Source organism: Homo sapiens, chromosome 11 (assembly GCF_000001405.40).
Source record: "Homo sapiens chromosome 11, GRCh38.p14 Primary Assembly".
Classification (NCBI taxonomy): domain Eukaryota; kingdom Metazoa; phylum Chordata; class Mammalia; order Primates; family Hominidae; genus Homo; species Homo sapiens.
The window spans coordinates 809713-832571 of NC_000011.10; the positions used below are offsets into that span (position 1 = coordinate 809713).

The window sequence follows — 22859 nt, forward strand, 5'->3', positions numbered from 1 at the left end:
CCCACGAGTTTCGGTGGCCCTTCGCCCCACGCTATAAGAGCAGTCACTTCCGGAACTGCTGCCCTTCGCCTTTGCCGCGAAAAGTGCCTGACGGGGGCTGGGAAGGGGGAGGGGGAAGGAGTCAACGACTCCCTCCCCGTCGTCATTGGCTGAGCGCCTCGTGACGTCACTCTGAGGCGCCTCATGCGGCGCCGCGCACGGGTCCCAGAGCCTTCTGGGTAGCGGTTTAACCCCGCCTCTTGCGTCGGCGCCTTCCTTTTCCTCCCTGTCGCCACCGAGGTCGCACGCGTGAGACTTCTCCGCCGCCTCCGCCGCAGACGCCGCCGCGTGAGTGTGGTGACCGGGCCCGGGGTGCCGGCTGGGGACGCGGAGTCCGTGGGGATGCGGGGTGGGCGGCGGGGTATTTTTGGGACGGAGGCCTACGGGCCGAGCCACGCGCGGCCTCGCCCGGCGGCCCCGGGATGGGCCGGCAGGAGGCCGCCGGGGTAACTCCGCCGTCGCGTCCTCTCCGCCCGCCTCAGGATGCGCTACGTCGCCTCCTACCTGCTGGCTGCCCTAGGGGGCAACTCCTCCCCCAGCGCCAAGGACATCAAGAAGATCTTGGACAGCGTGGGTATCGAGGCGGACGACGACCGGCTCAACAAGGTAGCGGCCGCCCTTGCCCCGCAGCCGCCGTGGGGCCCCAGTGTCCCATACAGGCGATTCTTCTGCCTGATCCGGCCACATGCTGGAGGGTTCGGGGAGAGGCTCGTTTCAGTCTAGTTGGCGATTTCTTGGATAGAGAAGTAAGCCGGGCGGAGGTCGGGCGCGGTGGCTCACGCCTGTAGTCCCAGTACTTTGGGAGGACGAGGCAGGCGGATCACCTGAGGTCAGGGGTTCGAGACCAGCCTGGTAAACATGTCGAAACCCCATCCCTACTAAAAATACAAAAATTAGCCGGGCGTGGTGGTGGGTGCCTGTAGTCCCCCTACTTGGGAGGCTGAGGCAGGAAAATCGCTCGAACCCGGGAGATGGAGGTTGCACGGATCGTGCCACTGTACTCCAGTCTGGGTGGCAGAAGGAGACCCTGTCTCAAAAGGAAAAAAAAAAAAAAAAGCAGGGTGGGTACGAGGCAAAATCGTGATTAACAAGCTTTGGAAGTTTAATACCAGTGAGCTGCGTAAGATTGCGTTAAAAAAAAAAAAAAGCAGTCCTGGCGCATGGCTCACCCGGCTTTGGGAGGCCATGGCGAGTGGATTATTGGAGCCTTGAAGTTCGAGACTGGTCTGGAAAACATTGCAAGACCCGGTCTCCACAAAAAAAAAAAAAAAAAAAAATGGTTGGAGGCAGTGGTGCACATCTGTAGTCTCAGCTACTCATGAGGCTGATGCGGGAGAATCATTTGAGCCTTAGAGGTCAAGGCTGCACTGAGTAGTGATTGTGCCACTGCAGTCTAACAGAACCAGGCCTCGTCTCTAAAATACAATAAAAAATTAGCCAGGCTTGGTTGCTCATGCCTGTAGTCCCAGACTGAGGTGGGATAGTCACTTGAGCCCGGGAGGTCAAGGCTGCAGTGAGATCCTACCACTGCACTCCAGCCTGAAGTCAAAGTCAATTTCATTGCCAGTTTATTTTGCCAGTGTTGAAGATACCTATGAGTAGTCAACATAAGTAGTGAGATGCCCTGTGTCCTTTTGTCAGTCCTAAGTCTAAGAAAGCTAGTGTCCATTTATTTTTATATCACTTCCCAAGTGAGGCTGGTGGCTCCCTTTGGGCAGTGCAGTTCTGGAAACTTCAGGGCCTATTCCCATGTGGGGAACCCAGTCCTGCTGTGACTCTGGGAGGGAGAGGGCCGGGGATACAATCGTACATTCCTGGTAACAGCCCTGTGATTGTCTGCTTCAGGTTATCAGTGAGCTGAATGGAAAAAACATTGAAGACGTCATTGCCCAGGGTGAGTTGATGTGGACGGGCTTTCGTTTGTTTTCATGGTCCATCCTAATCCCTGCCGGTCCATCTGTGGCCTGCCAGGTTTCGCTTGTGGACCAGAGCACCCTAGAAGCCTCACCCGAGGAGTGAGCAGGGCTCCAGTGGGCTCACGTCATGGGCACTTCTAGACACTCTCAGGAGCAGGGCAGCAGGGGGCACCCTGTGTTCTCAGCAGACGTTTAGGTGGCCCTGCCTCTTAAGCCTGACTGCTCCTAGCCCTGAGGCCATTCCCCAGGATTTGTCTGAAGCTTGGTGTCTGGAGAACTGAGTTCACGTCAGCAGTCCTTACCACATGCTTTCTGTGAGGGGGTTGGGGGCAGGGACTGAGGGTGCCAGGGATGTCCATAGGCTCCTTGCCTCTTTGTTGGGCAGATGGTTTTTTGTTGGCTTCAGCTGAGCTGGTGGAACTTGTTTGGAAGTTGAGCTGTTGGGGCAGCTGTTCTTGTCTTCCATGCATGTGACCACGACAGGGCCAGCTCAGCAAACGGGCCAAGCCATGAACACAGCGTTGTGGCCAGAGATGTGGATACTGGGGCAGCACACTCATTCCCTACCTAGTTATGAACATGTCTGTCCAGTGGACCTCTGAGGGTGGAGGTGGGGAAATTGGGCAGGCAGGCAGTGTGGGCCTAATTCCTAGAAGGCAAGTCCCTGGATAGGAAAGGTGGGGAAGAGAAGTCCCCGTTGAGGAGTGGCTCAGGGAGGGAGTGTTCAGGAAGAACGGGAGACACTGGCATATGGTGGGTCCAGATATGTTGGGTGCCATGTGCCATCTCTGGTGCCATCTAACTTCCCTGTGGAACAGCCTCCCAGGCTGGGCAGCTGCTCTGGTCTCACCTCTCTGCTTTCTGTAGGTATTGGCAAGCTTGCCAGTGTACCTGCTGGTGGGGCTGTAGCCGTCTCTGCTGCCCCAGGCTCTGCAGCCCCTGCTGCTGGTTCTGCCCCTGCTGCAGGTAAGTGGTGGCCTGGTGAGTGGGCAAGGGGCTGGGGCTCAGACGGTGTTGCTGCAGTGGGGTCTTCATGGGGGGACTGGCCTGGCACTTGGGCAGTGCTCACCATGCCTCTCCTCTGTTCCACAGCAGAGGAGAAGAAAGATGAGAAGAAGGAGGAGTCTGAAGAGTCAGATGATGACATGGGATTTGGCCTTTTTGATTAAATTCCTGCTCCCCTGCAAATAAAGCCTTTTTACACATCTCTCAAGTATTCCATGAGCACTTTGTCAAGGGTGGCCTCTGCCCAGGTTCTTATCCAAGAGGGCAGGTGTGGAGCTGAAGTGTGGGCAACATGGTATTGGGGAAGCGTTTCTGGTGCAAAATGAGCATGAGGAGGGGAGTCTGGGCATCACAGCTGCCTGGGGTCCCTTCCTGTGGCCTTGAGCAGTATCCTAGCTCCTGAGTACACCCCAGAAGAATGCGAACGGGCTGGGCACAGTAGCTCGTGCCCATTATCCCAGCACTTTGGGAGGCCGAGGAGGGAAGATCACTTGAGGCCAGCAGTTTGAGACCAGCCTGGGCAAATAGCAAGACCCCATCTCTAAAAAACAACCTAACAAGGCGTGGTGTGCACCTGTAGTCCCAACTATGGGAAGTTGAGATGGAAGGATCACTTGCCCAGGAGGTTGAAGTTAACAGTGGGCCGTGATAGTGCCACTGCACTCCATCCTGAGCAGCAGAAACCCTGTCTTGAAAAAAAAGGACAGCAGAGAAGCTGATTTCAATGGAGTTTGGGTAATCAGGGCTCTGTCTTTGGGGTGGCTTGGTGCCTGGACTTGCAAGGACAGGATTGGTAGCCCCTGGGCTCTACAAATGGATGCAGGAAGTGAGCCCAGCTTGGGGGTGGCAGACGCCCCTGGGTTTCCCTGCAGGGGTCATGGCTCCGCCATAATGCCCTGAGCAACTTGGGCAATCACTCCTCAGGCTTGTTTTTTTGCCGATCACAGCCCACCCCTGCCTTACTGGGCAGATGTGCTCAGGGCTTGTGGGAAGTGACCACAGGGCCATGTGCTCACTGAACTAGGTCCTTTGGGGATGGGCCTGCCCTCCCCCGACAGGCTCTGTCCTGGAATACAGGGCTAAGGACAGAGGCCATCACCCTCCCCTCCCAGCCTCTCTGCCCTCCTGGCCTTACTCCGTACGCAGTCTCCCAGGCCTCAGGGTCTTTGCCCGCCAACGTAGGCACCCAGAAGATGGTCTGCCACTCCCACCCTAGGCTTGGGGTCAGCAACCCACCCGCTGGCTTTGGTGTGGGGAGCACCTGCTGTGTGACCACCTTAGTTCTGGGAGGATAAATAGGCTATAGCACAGAAGACAGTTGGGGTGGCTGGGGGAGGCCTCCCTCAGATGGGAAGGCAAGACCTGGAGGAAGGCAGAGTCCCTGGAGGGGAAGGAATGTGGATTGTTGGAGCCAGGGAGCCACAGAAAGTACTGAGATGGAGGGGGACCCAAGATGCTTTTTATTTATTTTGTTTTTTTTCTTTTTGAGATGGACTTTTGCTCTTGTTACCCAGGCTGGAGTGCAAGTGGCACACTCTCCACTCACTGCAACCTGCGCCTCTCTGGTTCAAGTGATTCTCCTGCCTCAGCCTCCTGAGTAGCTGGGACTACAGGTGCCTGCCACCAGTCCCAGCTAATTTTTTGTATTTTTAGAAAAGATGGGGTTTCACCATGTTGGCCAGGCTGGTCTGGAACTCCTGACCTCAGGTGATCCGCCCGCCTTGGCCTCCCAAAATGCTGGGATTACAGGCATGAGCCACTGCGCCTAGCCTTTCTTCTTTCTTTCTTTTTTTTTTTTTTTTGAGACAGAGTCTCGCTCTGTCGCCCAGGCTGGAGTGCAGTGGCGCCATCTCACTGCAAGCTCCGCCTCCCGGGTTCACGCCACTCTCCTGCCTCAGCCTCCAGAGTAGCTGGGACTACAGGCGCCCGCTACCACGCCCACCTAATTTTTTGTATTTTTTTTTTTTTTAGTAGAGATGGGGTTTCACTGTGTTAGCCAGGATGGTCTCGATCTCCTGACTTCGTGATCTGCCCGCCTCGGCCTCCCAAACTGCTGGGATTACAGGCGTGAGCCACCGCGCCCGGCTACCTTATTTATTTATTTTTTCCAGACGTGATCTCACTCTGTCGCCCAGGCTGGCGTGCAGTGGCATGATCTCGGCTCACTGCAACCTCCACCTCCCAGGTTCAAGTAATTCTTCACCTCAACCTCCAGAGTAGCTGGGACTACAGGTGCCCACCACCACGCCCGGCTAATTTTTGTATTTTTTTTTTTAGTAGAGACGGGGTTTCACCGTGTTAGCCAGGATGGTCTCGATCTCCTGATTTCGTGATCTGCCCACCTCGGCCTCCCAAAGTGCTGGGATTTCAGGCATTATTTATTTTTTGAGACAGAGTTTCGCTCTAGTCGTCCAGGCTGGAGTGCAGTGGCACGATCTCGGCTCACTGCAACCTCTGCATTCCAGGTTCAAGCAATTCTCATGCCTCAGCTTCTTGAGCAGCTGGAATTACAGGCACGCGCCTCCACACCTGGCTAATTTCTGTATTTTTAGTAGAGATGGGGTTTCATCATGTTGCCTAGGTTGGTCTCAAACTCCTGGCCTCAAATGATCCTCCTGCCTCGGCCTCTGAAACTGCTGGGATTACAGGCGTGAGCCACTGTGCCTGGCCTACATTTATATTTTGTTTTATTTTGTATTTTATCTTATATTTTGAGTCGGAGGCTCACTGTGTTGCCCAGGTTGGAGTGCAGTGGCAGGATCTTGGCTCATGGCAGCCTTGACCTCCCAGGCTCAAGTGATCTTCCCACCTCAGCCTCCAGAGTAACTGGGACTACTGATGTGTGCCACCAACACAGCTAATTTTTGTATCTTTTTGTAGAGATGGGGTTTCACCACGTTGGCCAGGCTGGTCTCAAACTCTTGGCTCAGGCAACCCACCTGCTTTGGCCTCCCAAAGTGCTGGGATTACAGGTGTGAGCCACCGTGCCCGGCCTTAATAATATTTTTAAAAAAACCTTTTTGGATGCCCGTAAAAGCAGAGATTAGGGTGGGAGTAAAGCCAGGTGAGGAGTGGAGGAGGCCGGAACCTGGGTAGTAGGGGTGGGGCAGCAGATGGAGGAGGAAGCAAAGAGAAATGACCCCAGCAGGGTACAGCTAAGGAGTGCAGGGAGCAGTGCTCACTACAACGGGGCAGGGGTGAGGCGGGGGCTGGGGATCGCCCAGGCTCAGGGAGCAGTGCTCCCTACAAGGAGGCAGGGGTAAGGTTGGTGCTGGGGATGGCCCAGGCTCAGGGAAGGGGCCCACAGCAGGAGTGGACCTAGGCTTCAGGGTGCAGACCTCACAATTCCAGCCTTGGACCCTGAAGGGAGGGGGCCTGTGTCGCCTGGAGTTCACCATGATAGGGGGACGTCACACCACCTGGGTTTCTCATTGAGCTGCCCCTTGGAGCTTGTCCTGATGGTGGGGTGCTCCCAGCCCTTGCCAGGATTCTGGGAAGGACCGCCCAGTTCCTGGCTCCTGAGCCTCCCAGGGGCCTGGAGGGAGGAACATGTACCCAAAACAGCCTGACCCAGCTGTGGAAATGGGAGCAGAGGTCTCCCTTCACTGGGGCAGCACCATCCATCAAGGCGACAGTCCCTCAGATGGGGCTAAGGCCCGAACCCTGGCCTTTCCCTTGGAGCAGGTTGAGGGAAGGACCCTAAGTCCCTGGCTTCCCCATCAGTGGTTGCCCTGACGAGCCCCTGGACTTCCATCCCTACTTTGCCGTACCCTGAACCATGCTGTCTCCAACAGCATCGCTGGAATCCAGTCACAGAGAGCTCCTGACACCTCAGGAATGGACCTGGCCCCGCCCTCCATACCCTGGCCCTCCCTCCCCAATCCCATGGTGCATTTGCTGCAGGGTACCTCCATCCAAACACGTGGGAGAAGAGGCCCCACATGCGCAGAATAGAAGAGTCTTGTTTTGTTTTTGAGACAGGGTCTCACTCTGTCACCCAGGCTGACGTGCAGAGGCGCAATCATGGCTCACCCCCACCCAGCCCAGACTCAGTCCATCCTCCAACCGCAGCCTCCTGAGTCGCTGAGACTATAGGTGCGCGCACCACAGCTGGCTTAGTTTTTATTTATTTGTTTATTTTACTTTTTATTTTAAAAATATTTTTATTATTTTATTTTATTTATTTATTGTTTTTGAGACGGAGTCTTGCTCTGTCACCCAGGCTGGAGCACAGTGGTGTGATATCGGCTCACTGCAAGCTCCGCCTCCCAGGTTCACACCATTCTCCTGCCTCAGCCTCGCAAGTAGCTGGGACTACAGGTGCCTGCCACCACGCACCCAGCTAATTTTTTTGTATTTTTAGTAGAGATGGGGTTTCACCGTATTAGCCAGGATGGTCTCAATCTCCTGATCTTGTGATCTGCCCGCCTTGGCCTCCCAAAGTGCTGGGATTACAGGAGTGAGCCACTGTACCCGGCATTTTTATTATTTATTTATTATTATTTTTGAGACAGAGTTTCACTCTGTCGCCCAGGCTGGAGTGCAGTGCGGCGATCTGGGCTCACTGCAAGCTCCGCCTCCCGAGTTCACACCATTCTCCTGTCTCAGCCTCCGGAGTAGCTGGGATTACAGGCGCCCACCACCACACCTGGCTATTTTTTTTTTTTGTATTTTTAGTAGAGACAGGGTTTCACCATGGTAGCCAGGATGGTCTCGATCTCCTGACCTCGTGATCCACTCACCTCAACCTCCCAAAGTGCTGGGATTACAGGTGTGAGCCACTGTGCCTGGCCTATTTTTAAATTTTTTGTAGGGATGGAATCAAGCTATGTTGCCTAGGCTGGTCTCAAACTTCTGGACTCAAGCAATCCCCCCACCTTGGCCTCCCAGAGTGCTGGGATTATAGGTGTGAACCACTGTGCCCAGCCTAGAAGGAGTCGCTTTAAGTCAGGTATGGTCACGTCCTCCCTGCTTGACCCTCTCCCATGGCTGGGCTTCAGCTACTCTCTCCCCTCACTCCCCGACAATCTTCGCCTGTCCTGGTCGGCTGCCTGGGTCTGCTCATTTACCCTTCAAAATTCAACTCAGCATCACTTCCCACAGGGAAGCCCTCCAGAACCCCTTAGGTGCCCCACACGTGGTTACCTACCTCCTCTCACTCATTTTTCTTTTTTCTTTTTTTTTTTTTTTTTGAGAAGAAGTCATGCTCTGTCACCTGGCCAGGCTGGAGTGCAGTGGCACAATCTCAGTTCACTGCAACCTCTGCCTCCCGGGTTCAAGTGACTCTCTTGCCTCAGCCTCCCGAGTAGCTAGGACTACATGCGTGCACTACCACACCTGGCAAATTTTTGTATTTTCAGTAGAGACAGGGTTTTGCCATGTTGGCCTGGCTGGTCTCAAACTCCTGACCTCAGGTGATCTGCCCTCCTCGGCCTCCCAAAGTGCTGGGATTACAGGCATGGGCCACTGTGCCCGGCCTCTTTTTAGGACGGAGCCTCGCTCTGCCCCCCAGGCTGGAGTGCAGTGGTGCGATCTCAGCTCACTGCAACCTCCGCCTCCCAGGTTCAAGTGATTCTCCTGCCTCAGCCTCCCGAGTAGCTGGGATTACAGGCGTGTGCCACCCTGACCGGCTAATTTTTGTATTTTTGGTAGAGACAGCGTTTCACCAGCCAGGCGGTCTCAAACTCCCGACTTTCTGTGATCCGCCCGTCTTGGCCTCCCCAAGTGCTGGGATTACAGGTGTGAGCTTCCACACCCGGCCTCCTCTCATTTTGAGCTTATGTAAATGCCTACCGGCCCCCAGTAGGGCTGGGGCAGGGTTGACTTTCCAGTGCTGTCTGGGATGGCTGGGAGCAAAGAGGCTGAGGACTGGGCAGCATCCCCCTAGATGGCCCCATCCTGTTCTGGCCCTGTTCTGGCTTCCCTAACTCAGCTTGGGTTGGGGGCAGCCCCAAGCCCCATCCCAGACCCTCTGCAGCTCTGGCAACAGCTAGGTCCAGAGATGACCTCAGCCTGGGGAGCCAGTGTTCCTGGGGAGACAGAATCTCATTGCCTCCCACCCCAACCTGAGAAAGCCTCTCGTTTGGGGGTGGGGTGAGGTTCAGGGAGGGATCCTGGATCTACTCCAAGCCCTGTTTGCTCCACTGACCAGGAGAAAAATGCGGAAAAGGGGTGAAAGGGTGACATCACCCAGGATTGCTCCACCTCTGGGGCAATTATCGGGAGCAGGGCGGCCCCAGTCAGACGCAGGCAGCCCCAAAGCCTGAACAGGCAGGGCCAGACCCAGGTAAGAAGCCAAGGTCCGGAAGGGTCGCGGGCGCGGGGCAGGGCTGAGGCCCCACGTCAGGTCGCGTGGGTCTGCGGAGCTGGGGTCCCCCACGAAGGGTTTGCGGGACTCGCATCCGGCCTTGGCCTTGGATGTTTATGGGTCTGTCTGTGGGTGAGCCTGTGGGTCCCGGGGCTCCCGAGGCCTGTGCGGCTTTCAGGTCTGGGGGTGCTGCCGGTGCGCCTCTGTCCAGGGACCAGCTCCTCTGTCCCGGGTGGGTGTGGGAGGCGGACCCGGTGGGGAGGGGCGGTGGCTGCCCTGAAACCAGAGCTCCCTCTCGCCGGTACCCAGGTCTGTGTGAGGCTTCCGGCCCCCAGGCTCGGGCCTGCGCCCAGCCCACCCTACACCCCTAGGCGTGTGCCCCCAGCCGTGCCCAGCAGGGGCGGAGGGAGGGCAGAAGCTTTCTCCGGGCGGCAGCGGAGGGCGGGGCTCCAGCGCGGGGGGCCGGGTCAAGGACGGGGGCGGGTCCCGAGGGCACGGCCGTTCCCTGCGCGCCCCGATTGGTCTTCGTGTGCCGGCCCCGCCCCCGCCGTGAGTCCCACACTTAAAAGCGCCGCCTCCGCGCCGCCCGCGTAGCTTCTTCGCCTCCGCCAGCGGGGACCCCGAGCTAGAGCCGCAGCGGGACCTGCCCGGCCCCCGGCTCCAGCGAGCGAGCGGCGAGCAGGCGGCTCACAGAGGCCTGGCCGCCCACGGAACCCGGGGCCCGGCGGCCGCCGCCGCGATGTTTCCCCGCGAGAAGACGTGGAACATCTCGTTCGCGGGCTGCGGCTTCCTCGGCGTCTACTACGTCGGCGTGGCCTCCTGCCTCCGCGAGCACGCGCCCTTCCTGGTGGCCAACGCCACGCACATCTACGGCGCCTCGGCCGGGGCGCTCACGGCCACGGCGCTGGTCACCGGGGTCTGCCTGGGTGAGCGGGGCCGGGGGCGGCAGGCGGGGGGCTGGCGGGAAGGCCGTGCGGGGCCGGGGGATGGTCTCCGTGAGCGGAGGGGCCCCGCGGCGAGTCGGTGGGTACCGTGGGGAGGGTTCCGGTCCGCGCCTGGGGAACCCGGCGAGGATCCAATCCGGGTCGCTGGCCTGGGGGCGGGGCCTGGTTTGTTTTGCTCCGAGGGTGCCCGGGGCCCGCCTGTCTGGCGCAAAGGTTTGGGGGCGGGCAGGTGCAGCAAAAGCTGCTTAATTGGACAGAAAAAGTAACTCGTGGGCGGGACCGTGAGAATCCGAGGAGGGACCTAAGTCACCCCGTGGCCCTGGATATTACAACCGGTGCCAGCGATCGGTCACAGTGTCCTGGGCTTCCGCAGTTGCAGGCTGCTATCAGGGGGCCTGGCATGGGGGTAGCCTCTTGAGAGGCGTCTGGGAACCGTGACCTGGTCCTTCCCAAGGGCCCGGAGGAGGAGCCCCGCTGAGGTCAGGGCTGGGCGCGAAGGGGCTCTCCTGCCCTCTCCTTGCACACGGTGCCCTGTGGCCTGGCTCCCCGCTGCGGCCCACCGCGTTTGCACACTTCATGGGTGAGGGTGCTTCTGGGCTCTGGTGCCTGGGTCAGGAGTGGATGGGTCTCTGTGTGCTGGGCTGGCCTCGGCTCGCACCATCGGCTGCCATGAGGGAGTGATGTTTACAGCACACGACTTCAGGAGCCTGTGAGGACACCCAAGATGACAGGGGCACTCTGCTCAGCAGGAGCCTGTCCGGGGCTCACCCCTGCCCTCTTCCTCTGAACTTTGTCCTGGGAGGGAGGGGGCTGGACCACAGAAGTGAACCTCTCAGGTCCCAATAACTAGAGCTATTATTGGGAACAGCCCCCTCCAGCCCCCTCCCTCTCATGGAGGCCTTCAGACAAGCGCCTCAGTCGGCCCCCTGGCTTCAAGATACATCAAGGTCCCTGCTACCCGAGCCAAGGACACCTCTCCCACAGTGCTTCCCCACCCTGCTCCCAACAAGACTCCTTCTCACGGGTGGTCTTGCACAGCTGGAGCCCATAGTGCAGCAGGTGCTGGCTGAAGAGCCCCTGGCTCCACACTGCCCCACTCCTGACCAGGGTGATGCACTGGAGGAGGGCTTGGACCTCAGCTCCTCCCTCAGTGCTCCCGACCACTTCCAGGGACTATCCCCAAGCTGGCCAGCACTCCTGCGCCCCAAGAGGAGTGTTTGGGGTGCTTCCTCTTGGCTGCAGTGGGACACAGGTGTGCCTTCCTAGGAACTGGGCCCTGACTACTTCCAGCCCAACACTCCCGGGCCTGTGAACTGTGACCTGTGTGCCGGGATGGGTTTTGTGGGTCTGCCCCATCCCCGCACTGCTGGATCTGGCCAAGTGGGTGAAGGCTAAGGCCGGTCAGAGTTGAGTTTCTGCCTTGTCCCCTCTCCTGGGCTAGATGCCACACCAGGCCCAGTGACTCATAGGGCAGGCAGTTGGGAAATACCAGGCAGAGGGCAGGTCCTGGTCTCAGCTGGCCAGCCTCTGCTGTCTGCCATCCCAGGGGAGGTGGCCAAAGTCCCAACTGTGAGCCAGGCCCCACATTCACTGGGCCTCCTCCAGGGTCTGTATGCCATGGAACCCTGGACATGGGGCTATGAAGGAAGGTGGGTGTTGCTAAGCCCAGGAGCATGGGCCCCTAACCTTGGCCCTGTGCCCCAGGTGAGGCTGGTGCCAAGTTCATTGAGGTATCTAAAGAGGCCCGGAAGCGGTTCCTGGGCCCCCTGCACCCCTCCTTCAACCTGGTAAAGATCATCCGCAGTTTCCTGCTGAAGGTCCTGCCTGCTGATAGCCATGAGCATGCCAGTGGGCGCCTGGGCATCTCCCTGACCCGCGTGTCAGACGGCGAGAATGTCATTATATCCCACTTCAACTCCAAGGACGAGCTCATCCAGGTGGGGCCTGGTGGAGCCATGCTGGGTGGCGGTGGGGGGGGCAGTGGGAACCTCAAGGCCTCTGCTCATTCTCTCCCACTCTGTCCCTGCCCTGAAGGCCAATGTCTGCAGCGGTTTCATCCCCGTGTACTGTGGGCTCATCCCTCCCTCCCTCCAGGGGGTGGTGAGTATTCCTAGCCCTGGACACCTTCTATGGGGTGGGCCGTGGGATGAGGGACAGAGGAGGAGGCCGCCTAGAGCCATCCTTCAGGCCCTTGCTCTGCCACCGCCTGTTACCCACTTCCCCTGTGTTACTCAAGAAACAGCTGTGGCAACGCACGCTTCCTGGCCCCCCATCCCTTCCTCCGTCCCTGCCCTCCCCCGTCTACCATCTGCTCAGTGCCCAGGCTGGCCCACAGCCAGTGCCCAGTGGGTAAAACGCTCAAATGAGGTAGCCACTGAATGGGGCCCTTGGTGGCCGGGTGGGGTGGCTGGGGTGGGTGGCCAGTGCAGCCACAGGCCCTCACATACGGTCCTGTCTGTGTGTCCCGTGGAAGCGCTACGTGGATGGTGGCATTTCAGACAACCTGCCACTCTATGAGCTTAAGAACACCATCACAGTGTCCCCCTTCTCGGGCGAGAGTGACATCTGTCCGCAGGACAGCTCCACCAACATCCACGAGCTGCGGGTCACCAACACCAGCATCCAGTTCAACCTGCGCAACCTCTACCGCCTCTCCAAGGCCCTCTTCCCGCCGGAGCCCCTGGTGAGCTCTGCTCCGAGGACTGTGGCCTTCCCAGCCACTCCTCACTGGGCACCAAGGGAGAACACTGATCCTTTGACTTCTGAGTGCCCAGGGTAGGGTGGTGGGAGCCTCTTCTGAGGGCTGGGGAAAGCGCACAACCTTTCTAGGGGCAGATGGCCCATCCAACCTCTCTGTCTAGCTGCTCTGTCCAGGCTCCCTGTCCAGTCTCTCTCTCTTTTTTTTTTTTTTTTTTGTTTGAGACGGAGTCTCGCTCTGTTGCCAAGGCTGGAGTGCAGTGGCAGGATCTCAGCTCACTGCAACCTCTGCCTCCAAGGTTCAAGCTATTCTCCTGCCTCAGCCTCCCCATTAGCTGGGATTACAGGCGCCTGCCACCATGCCTGGCTACTTTTTGTATTTTTAGTAAAGAAATAGGGTTTCACCATGTTGGCCAGGCTGGCCTCAAACTATTTTATTTTTTTATTTTTTTTTTGAGATGAAGTCTCACACTGTCACCCAGGCTGGAGTGCAGTGGCTGGATCTCCTCTCACTGCAAGCTCCACCTCCCGGGTTCCTGCCATTCTCCTGCCTCAGCCTCCCCAGTAGCTGGGACTACAGGTGCCCACCACCACGCCTGGCTAATTTTTTGTATTTTTAGTAGAGACGGGGTTTCACCGTGTTAGCCAGGATGGTCTTGATCTCCTGACCTCGTCATCCGCCTGCCTCAGCCTCCCAAAGTGCTGGGGTTACAGGTGTAAGCCACTGCGCCCGGCTTTCTGTCCAACCTCCCTGTACAGCTTTGATCTTGTTCTGGATCTAGGATAGGTTTTGGGGTTGGGAGCTGCGGGTAGTGAAGGGAGGTGGCTGTTGGGGGTGCCAGGGATTCCAGGGGCAGAACGGGCATCCCTGGCTCCCTCCGCTCCATTTAACCCTCCTCACTGCAGGTGCTGCGAGAGATGTGCAAGCAGGGATACCGGGATGGCCTGCGCTTTCTGCAGCGGAACGGTGCGCGGACCCGGGCGGGAGAGGGCGGGGTGGGCTCGGCTCTGCTACCCCCTGCGGGCCGCGGCCGCGCTGATGAACTGAGAATCCCTTCTCTCCCCAACCCCAGGCCTCCTGAACCGGCCCAACCCCTTGCTGGCGTTGCCCCCCGCCCGCCCCCACGGCCCAGAGGACAAGGACCAGGCAGTGGAGAGCGCCCAAGCGGAGGATTACTCGCAGCTGCCCGGAGAAGATCACATCCTGGAGCACCTGCCCGCCCGGCTCAATGAGGGTGCGCACCTGGGGGACGGGAGGGGAGGAGGGGAGGCAGGAGGGAAAGAGAGAGAGGAGAGGACGGTGAGCAGGGGAGGGAAGCCGAGCGGGTCCTGGGCCCCGCTGCCTCCACTGGCCGCCGACCTCCCGCCCACCCGCAGCCCTGCTGGAGGCCTGCGTGGAGCCCACGGACCTGCTGACCACCCTCTCCAACATGCTGCCTGTGCGTCTGGCCACGGCCATGATGGTGCCCTACACGCTGCCGCTGGAGAGCGCTCTGTCCTTCACCATCCGGTGTGAGGGCTGGGGGGTCGGGAGAGGGGCCCAGGGGACGGACTTTGGGATCATCCGCGAGTGATGGTTACCAGGGAAGGTGGGGTGGGGTGAGCAGTGCCAAGTCAGGGCACAGACAGGGCCCGGCGGGTGGGCATGTGGGTCTGGCCAAGTCCCTGAACGCGCCGCTCGCCCTGTCCCCAGCTTGCTGGAGTGGCTGCCCGACGTTCCCGAGGACATCCGGTGGATGAAGGAGCAGACGGGCAGCATCTGCCAGTACCTGGTGATGCGCGCCAAGAGGAAGCTGGGCAGGCACCTGCCCTCCAGGTGAGCCGCCGACCGCGCGTCCACCCGGGGCCCGCGGTGCTAGCGCCGGGAGCTGAAGCCCTCCCTGCCGCATCCCTGCCCCGCAGGCTGCCGGAGCAGGTGGAGCTGCGCCGCGTCCAGTCGCTGCCGTCCGTGCCGCTGTCCTGCGCCGCCTACAGAGAGGCACTGCCCGGCTGGATGCGCAACAACCTCTCGCTGGGGGACGCGCTGGCCAAGTGGGAGGAGTGCCAGCGCCAGCTGCTGCTCGGCCTCTTCTGCACCAACGTGGCCTTCCCGCCCGAAGCTCTGCGCATGCGCGCACCCGCCGACCCGGCTCCCGCCCCCGCGGACCCAGCATCCCCGCAGCACCAGCTGGCCGGGCCTGCCCCCTTGCTGAGCACCCCTGCTCCCGAGGCCCGGCCCGTGATCGGGGCCCTGGGGCTGTGAGACCCCGACCCTCTCGAGGAACCCTGCCTGAGACGCCTCCATTACCACTGCGCAGTGAGATGAGGGGACTCACAGTTGCCAAGAGGGGTCTTTGCCGTGGGCCCCCTCGCCAGCCACTCACCAGCTGCATGCACTGAGAGGGGAGGTTTCCACACCCCTCCCCTGGGCCGCTGAGGCCCCGCGCACCTGTGCCTTAATCTTCCCTCCCCTGTGCTGCCCGAGCACCTCCCCCGCCCCTTTACTCCTGAGAACTTTGCAGCTGCCCTTCCCTCCCCGTTTTTCATGGCCTGCTGAAATATGTGTGTGAAGAATTATTTATTTTCGCCAAAGCACATGTAATAAATGCTGCAGCCCAGCCTCTGCCCACTTTGTGTGTATGTGACCGCCTGCTTACTTGCAGTGAGAGCCTGGTGGCCAGGGTCTGGCCCTACCTTGGCTGACCAGCCTCTCCACAGCTGCAGGCCAGGTCTCCCAGCGTCGCACTCCTGGGCCTGGCATTTGGAACCTGCCAGGCTGGCCTGGGAACACCCCCCTACAGGCACATATGAACGTACTGCATTCCTGCCGACCCCCCTGTCTAGGATGCATCCACACCCCCCCCAATTTTGCCCAGCAGCCTCCTGGCTGACCCTTGGCCACAGCCTTCTGAGGGCCAATGGAAATATTTGGGACCAAGATTCTTGGTAAATAAAAACGAAAATGTTTGCAAAAGGTGTCGCCTGCCCCTCCCCTCACACGGTGACACAGTGGGGTGTGTGACTGTTTTGGGGCTTGGCCAGCTGTGGGGGCTGAGGTTCCTGAAACCAAGCACAGGGGACCTGGGAAAGCTGGGCCCCTGCTCCACTTGGGCGTTTGGCCCAAAGTTCTCTGTCCCCCCACCCTCACAAGCCTCTCTGGCCTGGTGCACATACCTTCTTGTTCCCCTGCCCAGCCTCCTGCCAGTACACAGGGCAGGGCTGGGATATGGAGGCAGGTGAGGTCCTAGCTGAAGGGGACTCAGCCCTGTGCTGGGGAAGTGGTTTCCTGAGGGCATCCTCTTCATGGCAGGGAGGCCATGAGGGGAGAAGGCCAGCCCTCCTTGGCAACCAAAAAGGCCCCATGGCCTGAGGGTGCTGGAGCCAGCCCCCACCTGCTCCTCCCAGAAGGCGTGGGGTGGCTGTGGTGGCAGCCCCCTGCCAACAATAACGGTTGGTTCTGGGATCTGGGACTGGGCGAGCCGGCCAGGCAGGTCCCTGATGTGCCTGTGCCAGAGGCCACCCCCCTTGGTCTCAAGGTCCTGTCCTATAAGCCCAGCCTTTTGTGGTTCAGCTGGGTCGCACGCTGGATCCCAGGCCCCTTCCTTGAAAAGCAGAGGCCTTGTACCCCCCAGGGTTGCCGGGCGGGACAGTGATTCCAGCCCTTCAGGTGGGTGCAGGGGCCAGGCTGGGGCTGGGGCTGGGGAGGGCTCCTCGGTCTGGGGTGGAATTTTCTCCCCCCACAGGAGGGTTTCACTCGGGCCTCAAGCAGCTCCTCCTTCCAATCCTCCCCCAAGGGGAGCCCCAGTCAGGGCTGGGCCCCAGAAGGAGAGCCAGGAGGGGCTACTGAGGTGGGACCTGCCTGAGTCCCCAGCTCGTTCACCCATACATATACACTGAATACTGCTAAGTTAAACATTTTCTAGCATTACACGTTCATTGTTTTGTTTTGAGATGGAGTTTCGTTCTTGTTGCCCAGTGCAATGGCACAATCTCGGCTCACTGCAAACTCTGCCTCCCGAGTTCAAGTGATTCTCCTGGCTCAGCCTCCCAAAGTGCTGGGATTACAGGCGCCCACCACCACACCTGGCTAATTTTTTGTATTTTTAGTAGAGACGGGGTTTCGCCATGTTGGGCAGGCTGGTCTCGAACTCCTGACCTCAGGTGATCTGCCCCTGTCTCAGCCCCCCAAAGTGCTGGGATTACAGGCGCCCGGCCTACATGTTTATTGTTTAAAAACCGGGAAAGTATAGAGAAGAAAGTAAAGGCTCCCCACCCCTAGAGATAACCGCTGAAAGTATTTGGTCTGTTTCCTGCCCGGCTTTTTCCTACACACACTTTTTGGCGCCTTAAGTCGGGCTCCCCCCGGACAGGAGGGGCCCCTCCCAGGCGCTGGTGTCTGCGCCCGCCCCCCGCAGCCTTGTCCCTGCTCCGGGGGGTCCCTGGGTCTCTGGGGCATATCGTTGCTTCACTGCTCGCTCGAGCCTCCAGGGATCGGGCCGCCGGGGCAGCGCAGAGAGGCGGGGACAGGCGACAGCGGCGCAGAGTGGCTCCTCCCGGGGCCGGCCCAAGCGGGGGTCTCGGTGCCTGCGAAGCGGCAGGGGTCGCTCGGGGCCCAGTGCCCTCTACGTCCCGTCCGGGTCCCAGCTGGGGCGGGGCGCGCCCAGTGTTTCCGGGAGGAGCGGCCCGGGCGCGCGGCAGGTGCGGCGGCGCAACTCGCGGGTAGGCGACCGCTGGTCCCGCCGCTGAGGCCCCTCCACTGCCGCCCGCCCGGCACCCCCTCCGGGCCGCCGTGGCCCGCGCCAAACCTGAGCGTCTCGGTCGGGAACTCCGGTTACCCCCTCGGGGCGCAAGGCGGCAGGGGTAAGGGCGGGGTTGTCCCCCAGAGTTTCGGGGAGCACAGGAGGCTGGCCGCCCCACCCCACCAGCCCATCCTCCCACCTCCCTGGGGCCCTGCTGCCGCGCGGCTTCCGGCTGGGGTGGACCTCAGGTCTAGCCGGCAAGCCGGAGGGCGGGCGAGACAACAACGTGGCCTGGAGGCAATGGCCCTGGCCTCTCGTGTCCCCTTCTCTCACCCGCCCAGACTTGCCCTCTTTGGAGGTCGCCCGGGCTAAGGAACATGGAAGGACGCTGGGTGGAGAGTGAGGGGAGAGGATCCCAGCTCCCCGGTGGGGGAAGGCGGGTGTTGGTGGGGAGCAGCTTTGGGAAATCCGGGATCAGGACATTGTGTGAAGGACAGGTGGCTCTGGTTAGGGGGCGGGGCGTCCCTGCAAGGAGGTGGGAAGGGAGGCCCCAGGGAGTTCTGAAACGGGGAAGGGCCTCAGTGTTGTGGGGCAAGGGTGTTAGGTCTCGAATCTGGAAGTGTTCCTGAGTGGGGCGTCAGAGGCGAAGGGCTCTGCAGGCTGGGACCTTGCCCCTGCACTCTGTGGGCTCAGTTGTGGGGAGGGAGGGGCCGGTGGGCAGGAGGGAGAAGTCTGCCCTGCCTGCCAGCTGTCATGAGGCTGGGCCACACAGGCCCAGGCCAGGGGCTAAGGACTTGGTCAGGACTGGCTGAGCCCTCACTTGGGATCAGATCTCCAGTTGCAGAGTGTGAGGGGCTCCTCCCTCACTGACCCCAAGCCTGCTCCTCTCAGCTTTCAGGACCCCACCTTCCTTATCACCAGGTCTTCTCCACTGGCCCCTGAGATTGCCATCACCTCCAGCTCCTCCTCTCCTGAAGTTGGCAGCCCCTCCTGGGTTCCAGCCTCCTGAGATGCCAGACCCACTGGGGCAGTACCCACAGGCCCTGAGCCTACATCAACCACCCCAGTGACACCCCAAGCCTGCAGCATTTTCCACCCCCAGCCCCCTGGTCCCACCTTGCCTTCCGCCCACCTTCCCACCTGCTGCAGGGAGGGCCCTCGGCTGAGCCTTCAGACACACTTGCACCCCATCCGCTCCCCTCCTGAATTTCTTCTGACCCTCCCTTGGCTTCACAGCACCTGAAGGCCAGGCTGAGGCCCCCTGCTCTCATGGCCAGCCCTGGAAAGCCTGGGGCTGATGAGGCCCAGGAGGAGGAGGGGGAACTCGAGGGGGGCTCTGCAGGGCCGCGGGCTGCAATACTGGAGCAGGCTGAGGAGCTGTTTCTGCTGTGTGACAAGGAGGCTAAGGGCTTCATCACCAAGCACGACCTGCAGGTGAGTCCCCCACCCCAAGAGACTGCTTCGGCCCTGGGTTGACCGCAGCGGCTCATCTCTGCTCTCCTTCCCCGACCAGGGTCTCCAGAGCGACCTGCCCCTCACGCCAGAGCAGCTGGAGGCTGTGTTTGAAAGTCTGGACCGGGCTCACACTGGCTTCCTCACCGCCAGGGAGTTCTGCCTGGGCCTGGGTGAGCCTGTGGCCTGCCTATCCCCCACTGCCCAGAGCTGGAGGCCTGATCAGGAGGCCTGGCACTTGTGGCGCCCTGAGGGCTGCCGGTGCCTCTCGTCCTCCTCCCTCCAGGGCCCGTGCTTTGTCTGCACGCACTCGCGCCTGGGGGCTCCTAGCTGCGGTGGAGTGTGTGGAGCTGACCTTCCTGGCCCCCAGCTCCTCTCCTGTGCTAAGCTCCGGTAGGGCTGGGAGCTGGCCTGTCACCTCTTGTTTCCAGGCCAATAGGACCAGAATAAGGAAGGAAAACAGGAAACTGGGCCCTGAGAGAGGGCAGGATACTCGTTGGGAGGGTGAACGGGGACACAGCCACGGTGGCGACCCACAGCCCTGGTAATCGCTCGCTCCATGCCCGCAGGGATGTTTGTGGGGGTGGCGTCAGCCCAGGGAGCGAACCCCTGCAGGACTCCCGAGGAGACCTTTGAGTCGGGCGGGCTCGACGTGCAGGGCACGGCGGGCTCTCTGGATGAGGAGGAGGAAGAGGAGGAGCGATTCCACACTGTGCTGGAGCAGCTGGGGGTGGCCCCGGTCCTGGGCAAGTGAGTCGGCGCTGGCCCCGCTCCCACTGCCCGCTCTGCTGTTTCTCTGCCTGCATGCTGTCTGCCCTTGTCACCCGAGTGCTGGTTCTGCACAGGGTCTCTAGGCCGGGTCAGGCCCAGCCTAGCGTCAGCTGCGATTCCCTGGGAGGGACCCGGCATGATTTCCCGCAGAATTTGCATTTCATGAGGCAGCAGCCAGGGCTGCAGGGAGGAGGGGCAGCGCCGGGCGCGGGGCCACATACCGGCACTGCCCAGGGTACACACACCTCACCGACCACGCACGCCGGGCAGGGGCGAAAGCGCTCACGGGAGGGATGCCCTGCACGCAGCAAGTGCTCCTGTCCTGCCCAGGGGCGAAGAAGTCTCCTAAGGGTTTGCTGCTGGCGGAGGGAAGCCTGCTTCCCGCTTCTGCCAGCTCCAGCCTCAGTTCCCGCCCGCCCTCCAGGCAGCGGGCTGTGAGGACGCTCTGGGCCAGGCTGCAGCGCGAGCGCCCCGAGCTGCTGGGCTCTTTCGAGGATGTTCTGATACGCGCGTCGGCCTGCCTGGAGGAGGCGGCCCGGGAGCGCGACGGCCTGGAGCAGGCGCTGCGGAGGTGAGGGCCGGGGTGGGGTATGGGGGCCAATGGAGGGCCTCAGGGCAGCAGCAGAGGCGGTGCCAGGGGGCTGTAGCGCTGGCAAGTTCTCATCCGGGGTCGCCCGGTCCCCCGAAGGCGCGAGAGCGAGCACGAGAGGGAGGTGCGCGCTCTGTACGAGGAGACGGAGCAGCTTCGGGAGCAGAGCCGGCGCCCGCCGAGTCAGGTGGGCCTCGGGCCCCGCCCCTCCCGCCAGGCCCAATCCCACCTCGCTGGCCTCCCTGGCTCCGCCTTCTCTGAATTAATCCCTCCCCGACGGCCCCACCTCCGCGGGTCCAGGCTGCCCTCAGCCCGAGGAGATCCCACTGGGCCTCACGTATCACCCCCGTCCGGTCTTCTCCACCCGACCCCGCTCCGCCCGGGCCCACTCCCAGCCCCTGGCCCTCCGTGTACCTCTTTTGCATGGCCGAGCGGCCGGCGGAGGCTCAGTGGTCCTCCGTGCGTCCCAGAACTTCGCCCGCGGGGAGCGGAGAAGCCGTCTGGAGCTGGAGCTGCAGAGCCGCGAGCAGGACCTGGAACGCGCGGGCCTGCGGCAGCGGGAGGTGAGCACCCGGCCCCTGCCCTGTCCCCACGGTCACCCGTGCACTCTCCCCCTGTGCCTTAGCGTCCCCGGGTTGTCGGGAGCCTGGGGCACGCGCAGCACCCCGGGGAAGAGGGGGCGTTCCTCGCCGGTCTCCATCCTTCCACCCTCCAGTTAGAGCAGCAGCTGCACGCCCAGGCTGCGGAGCACCTGGAGGCACAGGCCCAGAACTCCCAGCTGTGGCGGGCGCACGAGGCGCTGCGAACGCAGCTGGAGGGGGCGCAGGAGCAGATCCGCAGGCTGGAGAGCGAAGCACGAGGCCGCCAGGAGCAAACCCAACGGTGCCGTGGGACGGGGCTGGGCGGGCCCCGGTGCGTGTCCCGGGGGCGGGGCCGACGGGCGCTCAGGTCTGGGCCACTTTCATCCCCATCTCAAGTCCCAGGCCCGCCCCGTGGGAAGGAGGATCTTCTAGGGGGTCCGGGGGCTCCCCAAGGAGCCTTCCTGCAGCCGGGTCACCACCTCCCATCCACAGAGACGTGGTCGCCGTCTCCAGGAACATGCAGAAAGAGAAAGTCAGCCTGCTACGGCAACTGGAGCTGCTCAGGTACGGTCAGGCTCAGGCCCGAGAGGGAATGGGCTCAGCGGAGCTTGGGGGCTCCCAGCTCCCCAACATTCTTGGCTGCCGCTCTACTCCATTGGAAGTCCTTCCTTATGCCTGCCTTTCACCCCTCACGCTGCAGCCTCAGCCAGACACCTCTCTTCGCTCTGAGGGGAGTCGGAGCTCACCTCCCCCCACCTTGAGCTCCCTCAGACCCTCTCAGTGTCGGACTCCTCCTTCCCTAGGGAGCTGAATACACGGCTGCGGGATGACAGGGACGCCTGCGAGGCCAGGCGGGCGGGCAGCAGCTGCAGGAAGGCTCTGACAACAGCCCGCCTGCCTGGGCCCACCTGCTGCTGCTGCTGTTGCTGGGCTCGGCCCCCCAGACGCGGCTCTGGCCACCTTCCCAGTGCCCGGTGACCAGCCCCGAGTGACTCACGGACCATGAGCTAGAAGCTGCCCTTGCAGGAGGCTTGTCATGGGTCGGGGGTGCCCACTCAGGATGCAGGCTCTCCCCAGTGGGCCCCAGGCTCGCCTGACTGAAGACATGAAGGACCTAGCCTAGGAGTGGTCAGGGTCCCGGGAGTGGCCAGGGTCCCGTGTGTGCCCTCTGCCAGTCTTCGCTCTGTCCCCGTTCAATCAACCCCATCTCAGTTCAGCAGAAAACCCCCTCGTCAAATAAAACCCACTGACTGCACTGCGTCCTCCTGGGCCTTCCGTGTGTCTGGGAGCCACAGCCTGTGTGTGCCACATGGATGAGGTGGGCACCTGTGCACGCGTGCTGTGTGGGTGAATACAGGGAGCGCGGGCCTGTGGCGATGGGGCTGAGGTCCTGCGTGTCCTCTTGTGTCCCTGGTCATGCCCCAAACTCACACTACCCATCAAGGCTGGAGCCCCTCGGGGCCCTCGCCAGTGTGTGGATCAGGGCTCCCCACTGTCTCGCCAGGGAGGCCGGGCAGGTTCCCGGCCTCAGTCGGCCACCCCCTCCCATGCTGGTCCTCCCCTGTGGCTGTGATGAATGAGCTTGGTGGGTGGGCAGCCCCCTCCTTCCTCACTCCCACTCTTGGCGTCTTGGTGCAGCCCTAGGCCGGCCCTGCCCTTCGTCCCTCACCTCCTCGCACCGCTCCCAGTGGTCCCTTCCAGTCTGGAGGGCATGGGCCCCCCAGGACCCCATGGGTATGTCTCGCTGGGACCCCAGGCCTGCCCGGGTCTCCAGGCTGTCCACACTGCACGTACAGTAGCCCTTCTCCCGCATTTGCCCACAGCGCTAGGCCCTCCCACG

The 22859-nt window shown here is 61.3% G+C and overlaps 3 protein-coding genes and 1 non-coding gene across 47 annotated transcripts, besides 16 other annotated features; all 4 read left to right on the forward strand.

Annotated features, from left to right (window-relative positions):
• On the forward strand, positions 255-3164 carry RPLP2 (ribosomal protein lateral stalk subunit P2). The gene is made up of 5 exons (NM_001004.4): positions 255-327; positions 522-645; positions 1885-1933; positions 2823-2921; positions 3048-3164. The coding sequence occupies exons 2-5, from the start codon at positions 523-525 to the stop codon at positions 3122-3124; spliced, it is 348 nt and encodes a 115-aa protein (NP_000995.1). The 5' UTR covers positions 255-327; position 522; the 3' UTR covers positions 3125-3164.
• Positions 301-570: a silencer, noted in NCBI's record as "silent region_3035". NCBI's record gives its function as "represses an Ori minimal core promoter by ATAC-STARR-seq in GM12878 lymphoblastoid cells {active_cell/tissue: GM12878}" and the evidence as "EXISTENCE:reporter gene assay evidence [ECO:0000049][PMID:35858748]".
• Positions 1594-2334: an enhancer, noted in NCBI's record as "H3K4me1 hESC enhancer chr11:811306-812046 (GRCh37/hg19 assembly coordinates)". NCBI's record gives its function as "activates a minimal SCP1, AML or CMV promoter by ChIP-STARR-seq in primed H9 embryonic stem cells {active_cell/tissue: H9 hESC(primed)}" and the evidence as "EXISTENCE:reporter gene assay evidence [ECO:0000049][PMID:30033119]".
• Positions 1969-2102, forward strand: SNORA52 (small nucleolar RNA, H/ACA box 52). The gene has a single exon (NR_002585.1). It is a non-coding gene; the product is annotated as a small nucleolar RNA, H/ACA box 52 (small nucleolar RNA).
• Positions 2335-3075: an enhancer, noted in NCBI's record as "H3K4me1 hESC enhancer chr11:812047-812787 (GRCh37/hg19 assembly coordinates)". NCBI's record gives its function as "activates a minimal SCP1, AML or CMV promoter by ChIP-STARR-seq in primed H9 embryonic stem cells {active_cell/tissue: H9 hESC(primed)}" and the evidence as "EXISTENCE:reporter gene assay evidence [ECO:0000049][PMID:30033119]".
• Positions 8957-9251: an enhancer, noted in NCBI's record as "tiled region #11801; HepG2 Activating DNase unmatched - State 1:Tss, and K562 Activating DNase matched - State 1:Tss". NCBI's record gives its function as "activates a minimal TATA promoter and a strong SV40 promoter by Sharpr-MPRA in HepG2 and K562 cells {active_cell/tissue: HepG2 | K562}" and the evidence as "EXISTENCE:reporter gene assay evidence [ECO:0000049][PMID:27701403]".
• Positions 9202-15861, forward strand: PNPLA2 (patatin like domain 2, triacylglycerol lipase). Its single transcript, NM_020376.4, has 10 exons — positions 9202-9246; positions 9862-10193; positions 11916-12148; positions 12246-12311; positions 12685-12894; positions 13815-13875; positions 13982-14143; positions 14286-14418; positions 14602-14724; positions 14811-15861. The coding sequence occupies exons 2-10, from the start codon at positions 10007-10009 to the stop codon at positions 15148-15150; spliced, it is 1515 nt and encodes a 504-aa protein (NP_065109.1). The 5' UTR covers positions 9202-9246; positions 9862-10006; the 3' UTR covers positions 15151-15861.
• Positions 9447-10336: a silencer, noted in NCBI's record as "silent region_3036". NCBI's record gives its function as "represses an Ori minimal core promoter by ATAC-STARR-seq in GM12878 lymphoblastoid cells {active_cell/tissue: GM12878}" and the evidence as "EXISTENCE:reporter gene assay evidence [ECO:0000049][PMID:35858748]".
• Positions 10787-10836: an enhancer, noted in NCBI's record as "active region_4287". NCBI's record gives its function as "activates an Ori minimal core promoter by ATAC-STARR-seq in GM12878 lymphoblastoid cells {active_cell/tissue: GM12878}" and the evidence as "EXISTENCE:reporter gene assay evidence [ECO:0000049][PMID:35858748]".
• CRACR2B (calcium release activated channel regulator 2B) lies at positions 16445-22279 on the forward strand. Of its 44 annotated transcripts, none has more exons than XM_047426812.1 (10): positions 17544-17606; positions 18548-19060; positions 19140-19471; positions 19648-19828; positions 20274-20420; positions 20538-20625; positions 20909-21001; positions 21154-21320; positions 21512-21583; positions 21823-22279. In XM_047426812.1, exons 2-10 carry the CDS (start codon positions 18924-18926, stop codon positions 21995-21997), a joined length of 1392 nt encoding a protein of 463 aa, XP_047282768.1. In that variant the 5' UTR covers positions 17544-17606; positions 18548-18923; the 3' UTR covers positions 21998-22279. The 44 variants fall into 44 exon arrangements, with proteins under 44 accessions (XP_047282762.1, XP_047282770.1, XP_047282774.1 ...); XM_047426810.1 differs by having other exon boundaries at positions 17584-17747; positions 18518-19060; XM_047426823.1 differs by having other exon boundaries at positions 17584-17747; positions 18518-19060; positions 19140-19251.
• Positions 17310-17929: a silencer, noted in NCBI's record as "silent region_3037". NCBI's record gives its function as "represses an Ori minimal core promoter by ATAC-STARR-seq in GM12878 lymphoblastoid cells {active_cell/tissue: GM12878}" and the evidence as "EXISTENCE:reporter gene assay evidence [ECO:0000049][PMID:35858748]".
• Positions 17310-18168: a biological region, named in NCBI's record as "H3K27ac-H3K4me1 hESC enhancer GRCh37_chr11:827342-827880".
• Positions 17630-18168: an enhancer, noted in NCBI's record as "H3K27ac-H3K4me1 hESC enhancer chr11:827342-827880 (GRCh37/hg19 assembly coordinates)". NCBI's record gives its function as "activates a minimal SCP1, AML or CMV promoter by ChIP-STARR-seq in naive H9 embryonic stem cells {active_cell/tissue: H9 hESC(naive)}" and the evidence as "EXISTENCE:reporter gene assay evidence [ECO:0000049][PMID:30033119]".
• Positions 18170-18259: a silencer, noted in NCBI's record as "silent region_3038". NCBI's record gives its function as "represses an Ori minimal core promoter by ATAC-STARR-seq in GM12878 lymphoblastoid cells {active_cell/tissue: GM12878}" and the evidence as "EXISTENCE:reporter gene assay evidence [ECO:0000049][PMID:35858748]".
• Positions 18709-19246: an enhancer, noted in NCBI's record as "H3K27ac-H3K4me1 hESC enhancer chr11:828421-828958 (GRCh37/hg19 assembly coordinates)". NCBI's record gives its function as "activates a minimal SCP1, AML or CMV promoter by ChIP-STARR-seq in naive H9 embryonic stem cells {active_cell/tissue: H9 hESC(naive)}" and the evidence as "EXISTENCE:reporter gene assay evidence [ECO:0000049][PMID:30033119]".
• Positions 19247-19786: an enhancer, noted in NCBI's record as "H3K27ac-H3K4me1 hESC enhancer chr11:828959-829498 (GRCh37/hg19 assembly coordinates)". NCBI's record gives its function as "activates a minimal SCP1, AML or CMV promoter by ChIP-STARR-seq in naive H9 embryonic stem cells {active_cell/tissue: H9 hESC(naive)}" and the evidence as "EXISTENCE:reporter gene assay evidence [ECO:0000049][PMID:30033119]".
• Positions 19787-20324: an enhancer, noted in NCBI's record as "H3K27ac-H3K4me1 hESC enhancer chr11:829499-830036 (GRCh37/hg19 assembly coordinates)". NCBI's record gives its function as "activates a minimal SCP1, AML or CMV promoter by ChIP-STARR-seq in primed H9 embryonic stem cells {active_cell/tissue: H9 hESC(primed)}" and the evidence as "EXISTENCE:reporter gene assay evidence [ECO:0000049][PMID:30033119]".
• Positions 20454-21063: a silencer, noted in NCBI's record as "silent region_3039". NCBI's record gives its function as "represses an Ori minimal core promoter by ATAC-STARR-seq in GM12878 lymphoblastoid cells {active_cell/tissue: GM12878}" and the evidence as "EXISTENCE:reporter gene assay evidence [ECO:0000049][PMID:35858748]".
• Positions 21403-21942: an enhancer, noted in NCBI's record as "H3K27ac-H3K4me1 hESC enhancer chr11:831115-831654 (GRCh37/hg19 assembly coordinates)". NCBI's record gives its function as "activates a minimal SCP1, AML or CMV promoter by ChIP-STARR-seq in naive H9 embryonic stem cells {active_cell/tissue: H9 hESC(naive)}" and the evidence as "EXISTENCE:reporter gene assay evidence [ECO:0000049][PMID:30033119]".
• Positions 21943-22480: an enhancer, noted in NCBI's record as "H3K27ac-H3K4me1 hESC enhancer chr11:831655-832192 (GRCh37/hg19 assembly coordinates)". NCBI's record gives its function as "activates a minimal SCP1, AML or CMV promoter by ChIP-STARR-seq in naive H9 embryonic stem cells {active_cell/tissue: H9 hESC(naive)}" and the evidence as "EXISTENCE:reporter gene assay evidence [ECO:0000049][PMID:30033119]".

Coding starts and splice junctions, on each gene's coding strand:
- RPLP2 (NM_001004.4), top strand. CDS start 523: ATGCGCTACGTCGCCTCCTACCTGCTGGCTGCCCTAGGGGGCAACTCC. Junction 1,934..2,822: donor TGAAGACGTCATTGCCCAGG/GTGAGTTGATGT, acceptor TGCTTTCTGTAG/GTATTGGCAAGCTTGCCAGT. Junction 2,922..3,047: donor TGGTTCTGCCCCTGCTGCAG/GTAAGTGGTGGC, acceptor TCTGTTCCACAG/CAGAGGAGAAGAAAGATGAG.
- PNPLA2 (NM_020376.4), top strand. CDS start 10,007: ATGTTTCCCCGCGAGAAGACGTGGAACATCTCGTTCGCGGGCTGCGGC. Junction 10,194..11,915: donor GGTCACCGGGGTCTGCCTGG/GTGAGCGGGGCC, acceptor CCTGTGCCCCAG/GTGAGGCTGGTGCCAAGTTC. Junction 14,144..14,285: donor GCCCGCCCGGCTCAATGAGG/GTGCGCACCTGG, acceptor GCCCACCCGCAG/CCCTGCTGGAGGCCTGCGTG.
- CRACR2B (XM_017017582.2), top strand. CDS start 18,924: ATGAGGCCCAGGAGGAGGAGGGGGAACTCGAGGGGGGCTCTGCAGGGC. Junction 21,002..21,153: donor CGGGCCTGCGGCAGCGGGAG/GTGAGCACCCGG, acceptor TCCACCCTCCAG/TTAGAGCAGCAGCTGCACGC. Junction 21,584..21,822: donor CGGCAACTGGAGCTGCTCAG/GTACGGTCAGGC, acceptor CTCCTTCCCTAG/GGAGCTGAATACACGGCTGC.